The sequence below is a fragment of the Homo sapiens genome, chromosome 3 (genome assembly GCF_000001405.40).
Source record: "Homo sapiens chromosome 3, GRCh38.p14 Primary Assembly".
NCBI lineage: Eukaryota > Metazoa > Chordata > Mammalia > Primates > Hominidae > Homo > Homo sapiens.
In genome coordinates this window covers 38,757,530-38,779,618 of record NC_000003.12, presented here as the reverse complement: position 1 = coordinate 38,779,618, position 22,089 = coordinate 38,757,530, and the positions used below count along the sequence as shown (strand labels likewise).

The 22,089-nt window shown below is 39.6% G+C and overlaps 1 protein-coding gene across 6 annotated transcripts in view; it reads left to right on the top strand.

The window, feature by feature from the left end:
• Positions 1–22,089, top strand: part of SCN10A (sodium voltage-gated channel alpha subunit 10) — a 119,411-nt gene that overhangs the window by 36,599 nt on the left and 60,723 nt on the right. For all 6 annotated transcript variants that reach the window (NM_006514.4, XM_011533994.3, XM_011533993.3 and 3 more), the window contains 4 exon segments: positions 8,212–8,340; positions 16,023–16,114; positions 18,236–18,427; positions 18,872–18,938. In NM_006514.4, coding sequence (NP_006505.4) covers positions 8,212–8,340; positions 16,023–16,114; positions 18,236–18,427; positions 18,872–18,938 — 480 coding nt within the window.

The following is a 22,089-nucleotide window of genomic DNA, read 5'->3' as shown; positions in this document are numbered from 1 at the left end:
TAAAAGCTGAAAAGAAATTATTTAAAGACCTAACAAAACTAGAAAAAGGATAACAAATGAAAGAAAGAAGTTAATAATTATAAAAAGCAATAAATTACAAAATAGAAAAACAGTAGATCTAATAAATCCAAATGCTGTTGTAAAAATATGCACAAGACCTTTATACTAAAAAATAATACAGCATTATTGAGAGAAATTTTAAAGTACCTAAATGAATTAAAGGATGTCTCATGTGACTGGATTAGAAGATTCATAATTGTTAGAATGTCAGTGCTGCCCAAATTAGTCTATAAATTCAATGACATCCCCAAAAAAATCCCAGCAGCAGCTGTTTTATAGAAATTAGCTGAACAGATTTCATTTGCATGGATGAAGTGAAGTTTATTTAACTATTTTCCTATTGATAGACATTCACATTTATCATAATTAACATAATCCTCATATTTTGCCACCACATATTAATTTTTTGGTGAGTATCCTTACACATGTATCTTTGTACACATAATATGAGTAAAATTAAGGATGAATTTCTAGAAGTAGAATTGCCAGGTCAAAGGGGTGTACATTTTAATTTTTGAGATATTGCCAAATCGTCTTCCAAAGTTGGATCCTTTCCATTCCCAGTAATTATCAAATCCATTCTTTAGGAGATTTTGTATTAACTGAACTGTTGACATAATTCCCTTTATATGCACACTATGAAAAGTATAACATATACAAATCTACCTATATGGTCACAATCCTGGGAATTTATGTGACAGGTATTGGATGATGTTCAGCATCCTTGGCCTCGTGGAAATAATCAGACTAGATTTTCTTTTTGAAATGCAAATTGATAATAGCCATTAGTTGTTTCCTATGTTGCTGAGAACCCAGAGGAAGATAATAAATGTCCTTGGGATAGACTGGGGCTCCAAAGATCATGCTGTATACTTTTGAAAAAGCATTAAATTGTAGCCAGTGAGGAATCAGAAACCAATCTTATTGCCATGTTCTTAACACAATCTTTTTCCTTATCTTCCCTCCCTTCCATTATTCCTTGCTGAAACATTAGCTTTGCACAATTACCTGCTGATAATGGTAGCTCTATGTCTTTCTGCGTGCCTGCCTATCTGTCTGCTTGTGGAAAGATAAAGATAGATATTCCATTTTCTAATCCCCTCTTTTGCTTGGGAAGAAACTAGAGGTTCTTCCTCAGATTGGGCACCAGAAGGTAAAGAGAGCAGGGGGTCAAAAATTGTTAAGAAGGGCAAGACTAGAACTTTCCTACTCTCCCCATGCCCTGGTTTCAGAGAATCATTGAAGGGGCTCTTTGATGACCCTAGGACACTCACCTCTAAGCATAACAATATTCTGGAAAACCTTTGACAAATTATAGCAATTTGGTTGTAGAGAAGATAAATGTTTTCTCACCTGGCAAAGAACATGTGAAATGAAGCTGAATCTACTGCAAACGGGGAAGTGGGTGTTTAACACTGCATGCATAAAGTATTGATTTGTATCTTTTCAAATTTATGGAACTGTTATCATTTTATATGTGTGCTTTATCTGATGTTTTAAAATTATGTTTTTGGGATTTGCCCAAATGGATACATGTAGACCTAATTCATTCATTTTTTATTGCCATATAGTATTCCATAAAGATATTATCCTGTGTTTTCTCCTCAAAGTTACAGTTTTCCTTTCTACATTTAGGTATTTCAATCTCCTAGAATTTATTTTTGTATGTGTGTGGTATGAGATAGGCTTCCAATATTTTTCCATATGGATTATTCCAACATTTTTTTCAATACATCATTTCCCAAGTGGTTCCTACCACTGCTTCTGCCATGCACCAGATTCCCATGTCTACTGAATCTGTTTCTCCCAGTAATCTCATTGTCACATCCTGAGTCAACACCACGTGGATTTAAATGCTCTATAGTAAGATTTGACCTGGTCGATTCACATGCCCCTCCTTATTTGTCTTCTTGAAAATTATTTTGGTTCTTGTTTCTTTACTTTTCCATATCAGTTTAAGGGTCACATTTTCCAGCTCTTTTCTTACAACTCTGTGGAAACTTTGTTTGGTAATGCACTGAATTGATTTATCACCACAGGAAGAATCGCCACATTTACAATACGAAGCCTTCCCACACATCAGTATGGCAGATCTCTTAATTTATACAGGTCTTCTTTAATATTTTTCTACATTTTATAATGTCTTTTTCCTAGGTACATTGCAATTTTGGTTGCCCTATTGAATACTTATTATTGCTAAACTGTCTTAATATTATTAATTTCTATATAGTGATTTTGCATCCAGCAACCCTGCTGAGCTCCTTAAAGTTAAATTTTTCTGTAGATTCCCTTGGACTTCCTATTTAGACAGTTATATTATCTGCAAATAATGACAAACTTGTTTCTTCCTTTATGATTCTTATACCACTTTTTTATTTTTCCTGTCTTATTGAATTGGCCGGGACCTTCAACAAGATGGTAATTCAAAGCTATGACAGTGAGCATATTTATTTTGCTCTTGATTTTAAAGTGTGTGCTTCTAATGTTTCACTATTATGATGTTTATGAGAGTCTCATAATTACTTTTTATATCAATTTTTTCCATTTCTTGTTTGTTGAGACTTTCATCATGAATGGGTGTTGGCTTCTATCAGTATTTTTATATTTATTGAGGTTATCATATAGTCTTTCATCTGTTAGTATAGTAAATCTGTAAACTAACAGGTTTGTTAGTCTATTTTTAATGGTTCCAGCTGATCATTTTGCTGGATTCAATTAGGTGTATTTCATTTTATCTATTTTGCTAAATGAGGCTGGCCTGTAATCTTCTTTCATAAACTGTCCCTTTGGGATGTTCCAACTCTCTCCTCAATTGTCCCTGGGAACTCCAACTTATTCTTACTTTGTTTAGCAGAGCAATTCATCTCTCTCCATCTCCTACAATGTTTCTCAACAAGTGATCTAAGGATCTCTATGCACATATAATTTTAAAATCTAACATGTAAGATTAATTATTATATTCATAGAATTTCTAACTTTTTATGTTTTCAAAAACAGTGTATGTGCTTCAAAAACTGATTTCATTCATAATGGTTAACATGGAGTTAATCATAGGCAGTTTATCTTGACTAATGTATTTTATTGTCACCTGACAGTTATTTACACTTGTCAGACTTGCATTTGCCATTATTACTGTCGCTTTGCATAATATCACAATTCAAAAAAAAGAGTCATCACTTCGAAAGTGGTTTTCTGAAGCATAACAATAATGATAAAAATAGAAATATAAATCCTACAATGTGAAATAAGGTCACAATGTAAGTAATGAATGGCCTCCATTGTAAAAATACAAAGCATGAATCTGTTTGTCATGAGACAAGTGGATAATGGATGTGGATAATCTCCCAAAACCAGACAAAAATATATAAGAAAATGGGAGCCATGACAATGAATAATGATAATTGAATTTTATTGGACCAATGATCCTTTTGTCCTAGTACCCAATTTATTATCTGCTAACGTTTTTGTCAAGTAATGATATAAAGCTATCAAAACTTCCATATTATTTTCCAATAAAGTTTATCAACCCCACTTTTAAACCAATTGAATATCTCTACTACAAGCACAAAATAAGGCTTTCCCAGTATAAAATTGTGAAAATTTTATGTTAAAGGTTGAGAAGACAACAAAACTATAGAGTCATCATTCATCCTCATATCAAAAATAAGCACAATTGCACTCCTGCTGGTAAGATACAAAACCAGTTTCCAAATCAATTACAAATATTGTGGTTGGAGAAGAAACAAGAAAAACAATTGGTATAATTCCTTAATTAGAAGTATTGCATTCCTTATAATGTGACTGGCATTTAAAGTCAATGACTGTTAGGTATACGAGCAGACATTTTATTTTATAGTTGAACAAAACTATGAATAAGTAAGTTGTCAGCATATCTTCACTATATATATGGGAAAGACTCAGTGACTTTTTGTTCTATTTATCATGAAGCTAATTTTAAAAGAAGAGCTCTCTGGTTTAATTAAAAATTAGTTTGAACCTATGAAACAGACTTTAAAAGGTATGTTGGCTTATGCACTAATGTTTGTAGCAGCGTTATTCACAATAGCCAAATATGTCCATCAACAGATGAATGGATAAAAAATGTAGTATATATGTAAACAATTGAATATCATTCAGTTTTAAAAATGAATGAGATTCTGATACATGCCACAACATTGACAAAGCATTGTGCTAAGTAAAATAACTCAAACGCAAAAGAACAAATGTTGCATGATTCCACCTTTAGTAGGTACCTAGAACAGGCAAATTCATGGAGACAGAAAGTAGAATGGAAGTTGCCAGAGAGGGGGAATGGGGAGTTATTATTTAATGGGTACATTTCTGTTCGGGATTATAAAAAAGTTTGGAAACAGATAGTGGTGATAGTTCCACAATACTGAATGTACTTAATGCCACTAAATTGTGTACTTAAAAATGGTGAAAGTGGTAAATTTTATGTTATGTATATTATGCATATTTTACCAAAACTTTTTTTTAAAAGAGGAAAGGTGTTAAATTGCCATTGAAGAAACTCCAGCCACATGGTCAGCAAGGAAAGGTATCACTATCCAGATAGAAGATGCTGCTCCCAGATCCCAATGCTAGTGCATACCTTATTCACGGAACGCAGCTGGGGGTCTGTAATATGCCTCCAGATTCTGATTTGCTGTTGAGGTACACAGTGGAAATTGTGAATACAAACTGATTGTGGTCACTTAGTGTACATCTCTTTGGCCTACTGGGCTGAAATGAAAAGTGAGTAAGAGAGGCTGCTCTCCCACACTGAATTGCTTTGGCTGGCAAATGGGAAGGGCTTACACAGAGTTTTAAAAATAAGGAATGAAATGTTTTAAATTACCATTTTTATGAATACAAGTTGGGTATCTCAGTGATCCATTCAGAATTTGAATATTATGAATCTTTGTTTTCAGAGCCTGAATATCGGGATTTGTAACAATCAGACATCAGTGGTGCAAGTGGCTCAACGGCTGAGAACTTGACTTTTTCCCAATACCCAATGATTTTCTTCATTCACCAGAAAAAGCACTTAGGAAATAACACATTGGGCTTATTAAAAATTACATCTGAATGCTGCAACCCAACATCAAGAAATACCTTGCAGAGCCAAATACCACCAAAGAGAGGATGCAACTCCATTAGCTGCTGTTGAGCTGGGGCACTTGCCTTCTGGTGAAGCACTGAAAATAGTCTTTAGAGAGCACTCTCTCCATAATTTCTGGGTCTGTGTTTGATTTGACAAACCAGAAATATCCATCAAAGCTTCCCAACAACCTATAATTCTGAGTTAAGATTTTCTAATTTAGAAAACATAAAGAGTGTGGGGGGGAAACCAACAAGATATGGAAGCTGACAGCTCAAGCAGCTATGCAACCAGATATAGATTCCTAAATGATTTCAAACACGATTTCTCCTCTCACAGATGTGAAAAAAAATTATTCACTTTTTAACTTGACTTTTACTTTTATTTAAGACATATATGTTCATAATTTAAAAGGTCACAGAGTTTTATAAAGATTCTGACAAAAAAAACAGCAATTTCATTTTTCTCATCTCTTCTTTCCAGAGGCCACCACTTTTAGCTTTTTTTACCTGTGTCTTCTGATACCTCCCTATCTCCAATAATATACTCATAATACTAATTTTTAATTTTTCAATTTCTGATGTTATTTATTGGCTTCCTATTATGAGAAAAAACTTAAGGCCACATCCACAAACTCATTTCCTCTCACCCTCATCTTCCTGTTACAGTTATATTGTAATCTTCAGTTAGATCATCAGATAATATATCCATTGTATGACTACATATATAATTACATTACATTGCTAAGTAAACACTGTTTACAGCTGTGTCATGCAGTGTACTTTGACTATATTTCCTTTTTGCACAATGTTTTTGCTTTCCTTGGAGTTAATAAGGATTTTATTTTTTTGTTTGCTCAGTTTTCTATTTATCCCTAATTTGTTCCCAAACTCTTCTCCAGATGTTTAATTGTTGCTTCAATTTATTTGCACACATCAGGTGCATGTGTATCATTTTTTTCCTATGGGAATCACAGCTAGAGTACTTCATCTTCTGCCTCATTCTGACCTAGATGTTTTCTAGGCCTGATGCACAGCTGTTTTCTAGAGATTTTTTCTTCTTCATTCTTTTTTTGGATTCCTTTTGCCTCTTCCCTGGATCGCATATATGTTTCTTGTTTGAATGGAGCATATCCTCTAGTAACATTTTTTTTTAAGACAAAGTCTCTCTATGCTGCCCAGGCTGTTGGCCTCAAACTCCTGGGTTCAAGTGATCCTCCTGCCTCAACCTCCCAAGTAGTTAGGACTACAGGTACATACCACCATGCCCAGCTTCTAGTAACTTTATTAGAAGGGTAACTAAGAAGTACATTTCCCAAGACTTCATATATTCTACCTTCTTTGACAGTTTGGCTAGGGAAAGACTTCTGTATTAGAAATTATTTCCCTCTTAATTTTGAAGGCCTTGCTCATTGTCTTCTAATTTCTTTCTAGACCTCCTATTAGTCAAACAATATACCTCCTAGTCTGATTCTCTAATTTTCAAACTTTTTATCACTTCCTATCCATTTCTGCTTTTTTGTTCCACTTCCTGTGAGATTTCCAAAACTTTATTTACAAGTCCGCCTATTAGTGTTTTACTTTTGCTATCATATTTTTGTTTTCAAAATTCCATTTTGTCTTTGAAGGTACTTTTTACATCCTTCTGCTCTTGTTCTATACGTGGAGCCTCTTCTCACCTCTTAACTCTCTAAAAATATTAGTACAGGTTTTTTTTTTTTTGTTTTTGTTTTTGTTGTTGTTGTTGTTGCTGTTGTTGTTGTTGTTTTGGAGACGAAGTCTTGCTCTGTCACCCAGACTGGAGTGCAGTGACGCGATCTAGGCTCACTGCAAGCTCCGCCTCCCGGGTTCACGCCATTCTCCCGCCTCAGCCTCCGGAGTAGCTGGAACTACAGGTGCCCGCCAAGGCGCCCGGCTAATTTTTTGTATTTTTAGTAGAGACGGGGTTTCACCGCGTTAGCCAGGATGGTCTCGATCTCCTGACCTCGTAATCTGCCCGCCTCGGCCTCCCAAAGTGCTGCGATTACAGGCGTGAGCCACAGCGCCTGGCCAATACAGTTTTATTTCTCTAACTCTTCTTCTGCCCTCTTTATTGTCTCTTTTTCTTTTCTTTTCTTTTCTTTTTTTTTTTTTTTTCAGTTGTTTGGTTGCTTTGGTTTCTGGTGTTAGAAGCATCCTTCAAATTCCTGATGCTCCTTGGCTGGCTGTTCATGTTAAAAGTGCAGCATCTTCATGGGCTCTAAACCAGATTATCTTCTGGAAACTTAACGAGGAGCAGAAGTGAATAGGGAGGGGAGTTGTTTGCCTTTCAGTAGGTAAACTTTTCTTTATATGCATTTTTCAGTATGCAACTGTTTCCCTCTTCTTCAACTCTTAAGAAAATGAGCATCCAATCCATTTCTGGAGCAGAAACAGTTTCTCATTGAATGGATGGCATAAAGCAGCATCTAGAAAGCTCAACTGGTTCCTGTAAAAAACTTTCAAGCAATTCTTTCAGCCCTACTTATCACCCTCCCCCAAACCTTGCTTTCAGAGATACTTAGCATCTCTAAGTTCCAAGCAGTTCTGGGGCTCTGCAGCATAGCTTGGCTTGCTTCTGGGTATTCCCTGCTTCAGCCAGTTTTCAGCTTTCTTAGGTCTGCTCTGTCAGTTACCACTCATCAGTCTGCACTCCAGTTTCTAAAAACTGGGAGTTTTTAGATGAGCCTCCAGCTTCTTGCAGGATAGGGAGGCCCTGGCAGACATAAACAGGAGAATCCTTGCTCTTCACCCGCTACTGCCCTCTGCCTAACCCCAGAACAGCAGAAGCTGCTGGCTGTCCCAGCCACACACATCCCTCCCCACTCCATCTATTTGTGTGGCCCTTCTTTTTCCCTCAGTCTGTGTCTTGTTTCCTCTCCTTACCTTCTTCCCCCTCATCACCTTGGTGATATTCTTTGCATGTTTTTTCTTGGAGCAGTCAGAGCAGGTCATCCCTCCCTCCTGGAAGAAGGAACCCCCTGAGTACACTCCATGGCACAGTTGACACTCCTTTTCTACCCTCCTTCCCAGATATGTCTTCACTGTCATTTACACCTTTGAAGCCTTGATAAAGATACTGGCAAGAGGATTTTGTCTAAATGAGTTCACGTACCTGAGAGATCCTTGGAACTGGCTGGATTTTAGCGTCATTACCCTGGCGTGAGTATATCTCTATGCAGATCTGCATGTGTGATAGGAGAGGGGACAAAATGGTGGGTAGGAGACAGGGCTAACATGCAGGTCCCACTTGGACAGAGTGTGGAGACTCACACCATGAACGTTTGCTCCAAGAACCACTGCAGGAATATACCAGGAGAACTGAAAGAATTCATAGATCCTTTTAAATAAGTGGCACACTGCTGGAAATTCTGCAAGACAGGTGAAAAACTGTGAGCTCCCAAAGTGTGAGGGGGGGAAACCTGCCTCCAAACATACATCCCAACTGGGTAATCTGAAAATCCAGATCACAGGAGAAGAATTTACCCTTACCTGGAATGTAAATAAATTTAGGAAGCCACACAAAATATAAAAGTAGAAACAGCAAAGGGAAGTGCCTTGTAGGCACTCCCAGTCTCCAGCTTGAGACCAGGGAATCCATCCCTGACTATGTCTCACAGGCACCCTTGGGGAAGGCAGCCAGTGGAATCAGGGAGGGGTCACAGGATGAAAGAAGTTTCAACTAAAATTAGTAATAATTTCAACTGGGCACAAATTTTCTTGAGCAGAATCCAGGGGGCAAATGGGAACTGCAAGCAGACAGTGAGGGATGCGGTCCAAAAGTCATGCTTTCTTTCTCAGTGGGGAAGCTCACAGCCTGGGGCAAGGTCTGAGTAGGGCACTGCAGGAGCAAGACCAGCCTCACCAACTACATGAGAGCTAGGTGAGGCCTCTCACTAGCAGCTATCCCCCACTTCCCTGGAGAACTCTATGGCACAGCAGAGGCAGCCAAAATTCCCTCTGGAACACAACCCCACTGGCCTGAGAACCAACCCCCATCCACCACAGTGGCCACAGCAATCCCTACCCAAGAAGGGTCTGAGTCTAGACTCACCTACCCCTGCCCCCACCTGATGGTATTTCCCTACCTGCCTTGGTAGCTGAACACAAAACCCAGAAACTCTCGGAAGCTTTATGGCCCTGCTCATCACCTAAGAAACTAAAATATTTACCCTGGCCAACTTAGGGTGAGCTTAGATCCCCCTTCTACTAATGCACTAGTGCTCTCTTGAAAGCATCACCTACCGGCTGGAGGTCAAACAGCTCAGGCCATTAAAGCAACTCATGACAGAATAACTTTGATCCCAGGAAAAAGAAAACAACAACCAGTTGCACTGCCTGCAACATCCTGGCTAACCAGACGTCCTGAGTCTGTCCATATGACAACTTCACTGCTAACATAACTAGCATTCAAGAAAGCCAGCACACTAAATCTATCTACAGCCTAGGACTCTCACAGACTCTACTTCATTCCTCTGCCACCTTCACCAGAACAGATGCTGATATCCATGGCTGGGAGACTTCAAGATCAATCACATCACAGGACTCTTGCAGGCATTTCCCAGTACTACCCCAGAGCCTGGTAGCCCCTCTGTGTGGCTAGGCCCAGAAGAACAATAACGATCACTGCAGTCCAGCTCTCAGGAAGCCCCATCCCCAGGGGATTGGGGAGAGCACCACATCAAGAGATCACCCATGAAACAAAAGAATCTGCACAACAGCCATTCAGTTCCAGATCTTTTCTCTGAAATAGTCTACTCAAATGAGAAGGAACCAGAAAAGCAATTCTGGTAATATGACAAAAGAGGGTTCAATAACACCCCTCAAAAGATCAAACTAGCTCCCCAACAATGGATCCAAACTAAGAAGAAATCTCTGAATTGCCAGATAAAGAATTCAGGGCTGGGCACAGTAGCTCACGCCTGTAATCTCAGCACTTTGGGAGGCCAAGGTGGGCAGATCACCTGAGGTCAGAAGTTCAAGACCAGCCTGAAGCCAACATGGAGAAACCCCGTCTCTACTAAAAAATACAAAATTAGCTAGATGTGGTGGTGCATGCCTGTAATCCCAGCTACTCAGGAGACTGAGGCAGGAGAATTGCTTGAACCTGGGAGGCAGAGGTTGCGGTGAGCTGAGATCGCGCCATTGCACTCCAGCCTGGGCAACAAGAGTGAAAATCCATCTCAAAAAAAAAAAAAAAAGAATTCAGAAGGCTGATTATTAAGTGATTCAAGGAGACACCAGAGAAAGATAAAAACCAACTTAAAGAAATTTTTAAAACAACAAGATATGGATGGAAAATTCTCCAGAGAAATAGATATAAAGAAAAAACAATCACAACTTCTGGAAATGGAAGACTCACTTAGAGAAATACAAAATGCAGTGGAAAGTTTCAACAATAGACTAGAACAAGTAGAAGAAAGAACTTCAGAGCTCGAAGACAAAGCTTTTAATAGACCCAAACTAAGACACACAAAAAGAAAGAATTTTTAAAAAAATGACAAATCGGCCAATAAATTTGGAATCATGTGAAACAACCAAACCTAAGAATAATGGGTGTTCCCAAGGAAGAATAGAAATCTAAAAGTTTGGAAAACTTATTTGAGGGAATAATTGAGGAAAACTTCCCTGGCCTTGTTAGAAATATAGATATCCAAATACAAGAAGCTCAAAGAATACCTCTGAAATGTGTCACAAAAAAGATCATCACCTAGGCAAATAGACATCAGGTTATCTAAAGTCAAGACAAAGAAAAGAATCTTAAGAGCTGTGAGACAAAAGCCTCAGATAACCTATAAAGGAAAGGTTATCTGATTTACATAAGATTAACAGCAGATTTCTCAACTGAAACCTTGCAAGCCAGAAGGGATTAGGGTCCCATCTTTAGCCTCCTGAAACAAAATAATTGCCAGCCAAGAATATTGTATGAAGAGAAACTAAGCTTCATAAGTGAAGACAAGATAAAGTTTTTTTCAGACAAACAAATGGTGAGAGAATTTTCCACTACCAAGCCAGCACTACAAGAAATGCTAAAAGGAATTCTAAATCTTGAAATAAAACCTTAAAATACACCAAAATAGAACCTCCTTAAAGCATAAATATCAAAGGACCTATAAAACAATAACACAATAAAAAAAGGAATTAAGGCAATAACTAGCATAATGAATAGAAGAGTACCTCACATCTCAATACTGATGTTGAGTGTAAATGCCCTAAATGATCCACTTAAAATATACAGAAGGGCAGAAAGGAAAAAAAAAATCCACCAACCAAGTATCTACTGTCTTCAAGAGACTCACCTAACACATAAGGAGCCACATAAACTTAAGGTAAAGAGATGGGAAAAGATATTCCATGCAAATGGAAACCAAAAGCAAGCAGGAGTAGCTATTCTTATATCAGAGAAAACAGACCTTAAAGCAACAACAGTTAAAAAAAGACAAAGAGGGACATATATAATGATAAAATAATTGGTCTAATGGAAAAATATCATAATCCTAAATACATATGCACCTAACACTGGAGCTCCCAAATTTATAAAACAATTACTACTAGACCTAAGAAATGAAATAGACAGCAATATAATAATAGTGGGGGATCAATATTCCACTGACAGCACTAGACAGGTCATCAAGACAGAAAGTCAACAAAGAAACAATGAACTTAAACTGTAACCTAGAACAAATGGACTTAACAGATATTTAAAAAACATTCTACCAAACAACTGCAGAATATACATTCTTTTCATCAGCACATGGAATATTCTCTAAGATAGACCACGTGATAGATAACATAACAAATCTCAATAAATTTAAGAAAATAGAAATTATGTCAGGTATCCTCTCAGAGCACAGTCGAATAAACCTCGGAGTTAACTCCAAAAGAAACCCTCAAAACTATACAAATACATGAAAACTAAACAATCTGCTCTTGAATGATCTTTGGGTCAACAATGAAATCAAGATGGAAGTTTAAAAATTTTTTGAACTGAATGATAATAGTCACACAACTTATCAAAACCTCTGGGATACAGCTAAAGCAGTGCTAAGAGGAAAGCTCATAGCATTAAATACCTACATCAAAAAGTATGAAAGAGGACAAATAGATAATCTAAGGTCACACCTCAAGGAATTAGAGAAACAAGAACAAAACAGACCCAAACCAAGCAGAAGAAAAGGAATAACAAAGATCAGGGCAGTACTAAATGAAATTCAAATAAAAATAATAATAATACAAAAGATAAGTGAAACAAAAAGCGGGTTCTTTAAAAAGATATAGAAAATTGATTGACCATTGGCAAGATTAACCAAGAAAAGAAGAGAGAAGATCCAAATAAGCTCAATTAGAAATAAAATGGGAGATATTACAACTGATACCACAGAAATACAAAAAAAAAATCATTCAAGGCTACTATGAACACCTTTATTTGCACAAACTAGAAAATTTAGAGGAGATGAATAAATTCCTGGAAATATACAACTGTCTTAGATTAAATCAGAAAGTAATAGAAACTCTAAACAGACCAATAACAAGTAGCGAGATTGAAACAGTAATTCAAAAATTGCCAAGGAAAAAAAGTCCAGGAGCAGACTGGATTCACAGCTGAATTCTATCAGACATTCAAAGAAGAATTGGTACCAATTTTATTGAAACTATTCCAAAAGATGCAGAAAGAGGGAATCCTCCTAAATCATTTTATGAAGCCAGTATCACCCTAATACCAAAACCAGAAAAGGACTTTTAAAAAAGAACTACAGACAATATCCCTGATGAACATAGATGCAAAAATCCTCAACAAAATGCTAGCTAATTGAATCCAACACATATCCAAAAGATAACACACCATGATCAAGGGGGTTTCATACCAGGGAGGTAGGGATGATTTAACATACACAAGTCAATAAATGCTGCACGTCACATAAACAGAATTAAAAACAAAAATCATATGATCATCTCAATAGGTGCAGGAAAAGCATTTGACAAAATCCAGCATCCCATTATGATTAAAACCCTCAACCAAATTGGCATAGAAGGGACATACTCCAAGGTAATAAAAGCCATCTATGACAAATCCACAGCCAACATTATACCAAACAGGGAAAAGTTGAAAGCATTCCCCCTGAGAACTGAAACAAGACAAGGATGCCCACTTTCACCATTTCTATCCAACATAGTACTGGAAGTCCTAGCCAGAGCAATCAGACAAGAGAAATAAATAAAGGGAATCCAAATCAGTAAAGGGGAAGTCAAACTGTTGCTGTTCACCAATGATATGATCGTATGCCTAGGAAACCCTAAAGACTCATCCAAAAAGCTCCTAGATCTAATAAATGAATTCAGTAAAGTTTCAGGATACAAAAACAATGTATACAAATCAGCAGCACTACTGTACACCACCAGAAACCAAGCTGAGGAACAAATCAAGAACTCAATCCCTTTTACAACAGCTGCAAAAAAAAAACAAAAATAAAAACAAAAAAATCTTAGGAATATACCTAACCAAAAAGGTGAAAGATTTCTACAAGGAAAACTACAAAACACTGCTAAAATAAATCACAGATGACACAAACAAATGGGAACACATCCCATGCTCATGGATGGATAAAATCAATATTGTGAAAATGACCTTACTGCCAAAAGCAATATACAGATTCAATACAATTTCCATTGAAGTACCACATCATTCTTCACAGAAATAGAAATAACAACCCTAAAATTCATAGGGAACCAAAAAGGAATCCACATAGCCAAAGCAAGACTAAGCAAGAATAACAAATCTGGAGGCATCACCTTAGCTGATTTCAAACTATACTACAAGGCTATAGTATAGCCTGTACCAAAACAGCATGATACTGGTATAAAAATAAGCACATAGACCAATGGAAAAGAATAGAGAACTCAGAAATAAAGCCAAATACTTACAAGCAACTGATCTTTGAAAAAGCAAACAAAAACGTAAGTGGGGAAAGGACACCCTATTCAACAAATGGTGCTGGGATAATTAGCAAGCCACATGTGGAAGAAAGAAACTGAATCTTCATCTCTCACCTTATACAAAAATCAATTCAAGATGGATAAAAGGCTTAAATCTAAGACCTGAAATTATAAAAAATTCTAGAAGATAACATTGGAAAAACTCTTCTAGACATTGGCTTAGGCAAAACGTTCCTGACCAAGGACCCAAAGCAAATCCAACAAAAACAAAAATAAATAGATGGGATCTAATTAAACTAAAAAGCTGTTGCACAGCAAGAGAAATAATCATCCAAGTAAACAGACAACCCATAGGATGAGAGAAAAATCTTTGTTATCTATGCTTCCAGCAAAAGACTAATATCCAGCATCTATAAGAAACACAAATAAATCAGCAAGAAAACAAACAAATAATCCCATCCAAAAGTGGGCAAAGGACAAGAATACGCAATTCTCAAAAGAAGATATATAAATGGCCAATGAACAGGAAAAAAAAATGCTCAACATCATTAATTATCAGGGAAATGCAAATTAAAACCACAATGAGATACCACCTTACTCCTGCAAGAATGGCCATAACCAAAAAATAATAGATGTTGGCATGGATGTAATGAAAAGGAAACAATTTTACACTGCTGGTGGGAATGTAAACTAGTACAACCACTAAGGAAAACGTTATGGAGATTCCTTAAAGAACTAAAAGTAGAACTACCATTTGGTCCAGCAATCCCACTACTGGGTATCTACCCAGAGGAAAATAAGCCATTATTAAAAAGACACTTGCATATGCATGCTTATAGCAGCACAGTTTACAACTGCAAAAATATGGAACCAGCCTAAATGCCCATCAACCAACAAGTGCATAAAGAAAATATGGTGTATGCATACCATGGAATACTACTCAGTTGTAAAAAGGAATGAAATAATGGCATTGGCAGCAAGCTGGATGGAGTTGGAGACTATTATTCTAAATGAAGTAACTCAGGAATAGAAAGTCAAGCATCATGTGTTCTTAATTACAAGCAGGAGCTAAGCTGTGAGGATGCAAAGGCATAACAATGACATAATGGACTTTGGGGACTTGGGAGGAAAGGTGAGACGAAGGTAAGGGATAAGAGACTACACACTGGGTACAGTGTACACTGCTCGGGTGATGGTGCACCAAAATCTCAGAAATCAGCGTTAAAGAATTTTTCTGTGCAACCCAACACCACCTGTTTCCCAAAACTATTGAAATACAAATAAAGAACTTATTCATGTAACCAAAAACCACCTGTTCCCTCAAAACTATTGAAATAAAATAAAATAAAAAGATTTGCATGGGTGTCCATGTGGGGCTTATGGGTGTATCCAGGCTCACACTCTGAAGAAGGTTCTTCATCTCAGTTCAGCTTCCTCATTTGGAATTGTATGGCCTGGGGTTCTTGCCACAGAGTACCGCTTCGGGGGTTGCTTTCCAAGATTAGTCCCATGCCCATGAGGAGATGTCAGAGACCTCAAATCTGAGATAACAGTTAGCCTGTCACAGTGGATCAGAAAAGGCCCAGCCTTGTACCCCCCTGACATGGCGGTCTCCTTCTGAGAAATCAGTGTCTGAGGAGACTGGTTGGTCAAACTCCTGTGTTTGAAGATCCGTCCACATGCAGTGTTGCCTAGATCACAATGCATCTTCTCAAAGGGTCCACTCTGAAAGATGTTGCAATAATGAAATCAGTGTCAGTGTCAGTCTATAGATGGCAGTGTCACTAGATTCTAAGTGTCCATTCTGCATCCTTTCTAGGCTAATGATACCCCAGGTTATCCTTATTTATGCTGCATGCATCCCCAGGACCCTTGCTTGCAGAGATGCTGACTAACTTCTGGTCCTACAGATATGTTGGCACAGCAATAGATCTCCGTGGGATCTCAGGCCTGCGGACATTCAGAGTTCTTAGAGCATTAAAAACAGTTTCTGTGATCCCAGGTGAGCATTTATTCACAGAGCATATGTTGGTTTTCACAGCCTAACTCCCTTCTCTAATTTTCACAAGAACCCTGTAAGGTTCCAGGGCAAAGACTATTGTCCCCACTTACAAGACAAAGGAACTGAGGCCTGGAGTATAGGAAACATAAACCCAAGGCCTCTTCACTAGTAAGAGACAGTGTGACCTGGAAGCCTATTGTCCCAACTCCTAGGCCAGTGCTCTTCCCACATACCACATGGCCTCACAATCAATACGTAACAGGAGGGGCATGTCTTCACTTTCTGTTCTGGTTGTGGGATTCAGGCAAGACCCCTCAGTTGAATTTTTATTTATACCTTAAACTAAAGGATTAAACTTGGAAATGGGGAGGAAGGGAGAAAGCAGTCCCAGTATCTTCACTGTTTCCGTAGGTCTAAAATCCTGTCTTTAGACACCCAGAGGAAAAAAGAATTAGGCAATTCTTGATTACTGAGAATTCAGAAACAAAAGTAGTCCATCAAAGCTCATTGTGTGGGGCCTCTAAGATCTCCACTGTCACCAGTAGCCCAGCGACTACTCTTCAGCCCCCATGAGGTTGATGGTGAGGATGGGGAGGCCAGAGACAAGGCAAACTTTCTGAAATGGGACTTGATGCTTCCCCTCTGTGGCCTGATAGGTTCTCTCCTCTCACCCCAAGAATTCGTTCTCTTATCTGTAAACAGAAACACCCATTCTAGAGTGGAAGTCTTTTCTACCATTTCTTGTCTGGCTCTGCAGGGAAAGATAGGAAACTCTCTGCCAATTCCCACTGGACACACCTCTTGAAGAGAGCCCTGGTCCTGCCCCTTCATATCTCTCTCACTTACTCTCAACTGGGAAGACCCTGAGTCTTATTTGCAAGACCTGGTCTGTCCATACTGTCTCTTCTGCCTCATCTCTCACCTCTCCTCACATCTCACCATGCTCTGGAATCCACCTACGGTTCTGCAAATACTCCACACCATTGCTCACCTCCCAGCCTTCTACTGTGCTGCCCCTTCTTCTGGGATATCCTTCCTCCTCTCTTTACTCAACTCACACTCATTCCTCAGGGCTCTGCCAAGGTTTTACCTCCTCCCTGGTTTTCCCACCTTCCTCACACTCCACCCACCCCATTCCCACCTCTGGAACTTCAGTTAAGGGCTGCTCCCCTGTGTGCCCATCTGCTCAGTAATGCTACAGACTTTCCCCTCAATTGTCAGACAACGGCACTCGACATGCTGCTGCCTTAGCCATCACTCAGCTCCCAGTCCAGGGACTGACACATGTAGTGCTCAGTGGATTATTTGCTGACCAAAATGACTAACCAAAAATAAATCCTAGATTGCTTCCCTGGTCAGAGCTCTTTCTGCTACCTGCGAAGCTGCTCTCCCAAAGAAGTTGATTTTACTTACCAGAGCAACAAATCATCCCTCCTTAAACAAGCAGGTGTATCCTTCTTTGCTGCCAGCTGTGCTTGGCACAAGTTCTATTTATGCCCCAGTGACTGTCTCAGTGTTTCTTATAGTCTCTTTCTATTGCTAAACTCACCTCTCTGTTTCTCTGTGTCTCTTTCTTTTTCTTTCTCTTGGTCTATTTTTGTTTCACTCTATCTCTCTTGCATCTCTCTCTCTCTCTCTTTCTCTCTCTCTCTCTCTCTCTCTCTCTCACACACACACACACACACACACTCACACACAGTGAGGTTCATGTGTCCCAAGTCTCAAGCTGCCTCCCAGATGCATGCAGAAAGACAGATGCCAAATTACTGGGGTGAAGTTAGTAGCTTCATGCCTAGCACAGTGCCTGGAAAAAGTAGGTACTCAGCATAAATTATTTAAATTGAATTGCTAGTGTCAGGAATTTTATTAGCCTCAAGATGATAAAAAATGCATTGCCTGGGTCTCAGTTGCATCGTCTTTATAATGAGAATAGCCCCTGACTCTCTGCCTGCCTCTCAGAGTAAATGCAAGCTTCGGATGAGAAAGGTCTTGGAACTGCCCTGGAGTGTGTACATACTTCACTCCTGTATGTAGAGATGAAGGAGGATGGCTAAGATGAAGAAGTGTGCTCCGTGTGTGCTACCTCATCCATGTGGTCATACCACTGTCATCTTCCCGCAGGCCTGAAGGTCATTGTGGGGGCCCTGATTCACTCAGTGAAGAAACTGGCTGATGTGACCATCCTCACCATCTTCTGCCTAAGTGTTTTTGCCTTGGTGGGGCTGCAACTCTTCAAGGGCAACCTCAAAAATAAATGTGTCAAGAATGACATGGCTGTCAATGAGACAACCAACTACTCATCTCACAGAAAACGTGAGTGGAGTCTCTTCCATAGGGACCAAGGTCTGGTTGGACCCTTGGTATCATATAGGGACAGGGGATATGGAGCCCCTGTGTGTGTGTATAGACATATATTTTGACTCCCCTTTCCTGCCAAAATGGTTCTCTTGAGTTGTGTTTTACTTTTGGGTATTCTATTTCCTGTTGCTCAGCATCCCTCTTGCAAGGAAATGAGCCATAAATCTAGAGGCAAGTCATTCTACCTCTGCTGGGGGAGATTGAGAGCCGAAGTCACTGCTTAGCTCTTCTCTTTTCAGATGTGACTTTACAACTTCCATGTGGCCCAGCATGCCCACTGAGTACATGTAGCCAAAGGAGCTCACTTTGGAAGACTTGGGAATATTGCATTCACCACACAAGGCTTGGGTTGGAGGGTTCAGAACCATCTGTGAGGCTTTCTTTTCTTCCTTTCTTCAGCAGATATCTACATAAATAAGCGAGGCACTTCTGACCCCTTACTGTGTGGCAATGGATCTGACTCAGGGTGAGTTCCCAACTTATGACAAAGCACGAGTGCCCAACAATTCCTTCTCCATCTTGTCCTTGGCATATTATGGGCACAGATGGGGTTGCAGGTCCTGGGAAAGATGTATAAATAAATAAATCATGGCCTTTGCCAACCCAGAGCTCATGGGGAGGGAATGTATGAGTTAGCTTTCGCTGTGTAACAAATGACCCCAAAATTTTGTGAATTAAAACAACAATGTATTTAATTCATGATTCTGTGCATCAGCATTTTGGACTGGGATCAGATGGGCATTGGGTGACATTGACTAGGCTCATTCATGCATATGCAGACAGCATATTAACTTGGAGATGGCTGGTCTAGGACGTCCTGTCTCTGCTCATGTGGCCTCTCACCCCCAAACAGGTTAGCCTGGGCCTGTTCTCATGGCAGTGTTCCCAGAAAAACAGTGGAAGTTTGCAAGGCTTCTTCAGGCCTAGGCTTAGAACCAACACAATGTACCTTTTGTACATTCTGATACATTCTTGACTAAAGCAAGTTGCAGTCCAGTAGAGATCCAAGAGACAGAGAAATAGACTTCATCACTCAATGGAAAGAGCTGAAAAGTCACATTGGAAAGGGTGTGGATACATAGAGACAAGAATTATAGCCATTTTAATAAATAATCTACCCCAGGAAGGAACCAATACTTATTTGTGTCAAATGCTCTACACTTAATCATCACAGCTAACTCCATTCTATAGCCACATTACCCTCACAAGTAGAGGAAAAAACACATGTATCAGACTTTGCAATTTCGAATTCTTACAGAGGCCAGATTCATAACAACAAATGAGTGGAGTGGGCCAGGAGGGAACCTAGGAGCTGAGAGTTCATGCCTCCTCTAAAGGGGACAGCCCCACTGCTCGGTCCAGCTTTTGGTTGCCATGTGGAAATGTGGGTTCACTGTTTCCAGCTCTTCCAACTTTTAAAATAGAGATAGGAAATTTAGATTTTTATATAAAATCTCCCAACCGTAAACATTGGCTACCTATTCCAAAAAATGTCTACATATTGTTGGGCCAAACAAAATATTTCTGTGGGCCAAATCCAGCCTATAAGCTGCTAGTTTGCAATTTCTCATTCATAGACATAAAGATGCTACCCTGTGGAAAACAAGTTCTTTACTAGAGGCTTCATAGGCTGGGCAAACACAGTGAGGTGGCGGTGTGAGGCAAGAGAGAAAGTAGGGAAGGCTTCCTGGAGGTGGTGTTTGAGGTGAGCTTTCAAGGGCAGGTAGGATGTCTCCAGGCTGGGTGAATACGAGATAGTTTCAGCGAAGACCATTCCAGGTGGCAGAACAGAATGTGAGACAAAGCTAAGGGATGAGGACCCCTCAGCTCTGCCTGCTGCTTTGGCCACTGGAGGAAGGCATGAGCAGAAAGACTTTAGGCAAAAGATCAAAAAGGCCCATCTCACCCACCTCCATGGCTGAGAGCTTGGAAAAGCAGAGCTCACAACACCCCCAGTGCCTGAGAGGCTGACGGCTCCATGTTGCCCAGGTCGACCTGTGTGGAGCCTGCATGAGGCTCCACCTTCATCAGCTCACTAGGAAAACTATCTCAGTTGGAGCTGAGGACTGGAAACAAGCAGGAGCATTTGGTCAACATCAGGTTCCTTGGACTGTTCTTTCACAAATGCACTTGGCATTTGGTTCTTTGGCTCATGAGAGGGTTGTTCTGACATCAGTTTTCATTTGCCTTTGACTTAAATGTAAACCAAGAGCCCCTCAGCATCCTTCTGTCTAGATAATGGCATTTCTCAAGGCAATGGCTCCAGAGCAGCTCAAGTCCTTTTTGTGGTAAAGTTGTTGGGTCCATCTACACACCTCTACAGCTCAGCTCCCTGAGAGGCCAGGCCTGCTATTGGGCAGGTGCCAGCCAGGCAGTGGGGGAGTGGACCAGGCTGGGATGGCAGAGAGAGGCCAGCTCAGGATAACGGACAGAGTGAACCCTGCCGGGGCATGCCGTGAAAGCTAAACCTGGGTCCTCTGTGGGGCTGCAGAGAAGCCAGAGTCCTGAGGAAAGGCCCACATTGGCCAATGGCACTGTGGGAGGAAGGTCAGGGGTCTCAAGGCAGAAAATGGATACCAGAAAATAGTTGATAATTTTCAGTGTTCTTCCACATATATTATTCCAGTTTATCCTTTCAGCAGCTTCCAAGGTTAAAAACAATAGGAATTTTCCTTTGCAGTTTATATACAATATTTACTATGCAGAAGTGCAAGACACTATACAGTGATCTCATTTAATCCTCAGAGCAGTGAACTGTTTATATGCAGTGGCTATGGTGGATTTCTACAGAAGACATAGAAACAAGGCTGCCCTCAGAGTTAATTAAGAAACCTACAGGAAATGGGTTGCCTAGCCCCTTGGAAGAGCAAACCAAGAGCCTATCTTTAAATGTGGGTCTACAAAGCCAGGGAACTTGCAATCTTCAATCGAAGTGGAGATAGACTTGGAACTGATTAGAATTAAGTTGTCAGAGCTCTAATCCATGGTATGGGTTGTTCACATGGATGTCTGGGATAAGGAGAGCCCCAGAGGTTGGAGTTCATGGAGAAATCCTGGGAGTAAAAGAATTCCATGTATTCACAAGGAATGCAGGTAAATAAAACAGGAGAAAAAGAAAAAAATTTAAAAAAATAATTCTGGACTTCAAACGAGGCATTGCTGTTTCATTGATCAGGCCATCTCTGCTAGGGTGGATGAGAGCACTTTACGCTCCCTGAGCTGACAGATGCTTCTTGACATCGACTCATCCTCCTATTATGAGAGAGAGGAAGGAGTTCAGCATTCCCACCTCAATACTCACCAGGCAGTCATTTTTAATCTGGCCTTCCTTCATAGGCCATCTTCAGGAGGAGGCTAGGCTGACTCAAGTATTGGGCTACTTGACAGTTATATTTCTCCTTTTAATAAATATATTGACACCTGCGTAGTTTTAGGCAACTGACTTCTTTCTGACCCCCAGATTCCTTATCTGTAAAGAAAGAACATTGAGTGATTAAATTATAGTGTTTGTAAAGCACTTAAAGGGAGAGAGAAGAACACAGAAAGTGCTCAGTAAGTGGAAAGTGTTATTTCCACTGTTACATATAATTAATCAGTGAACTTGGCTAATGTGAGAC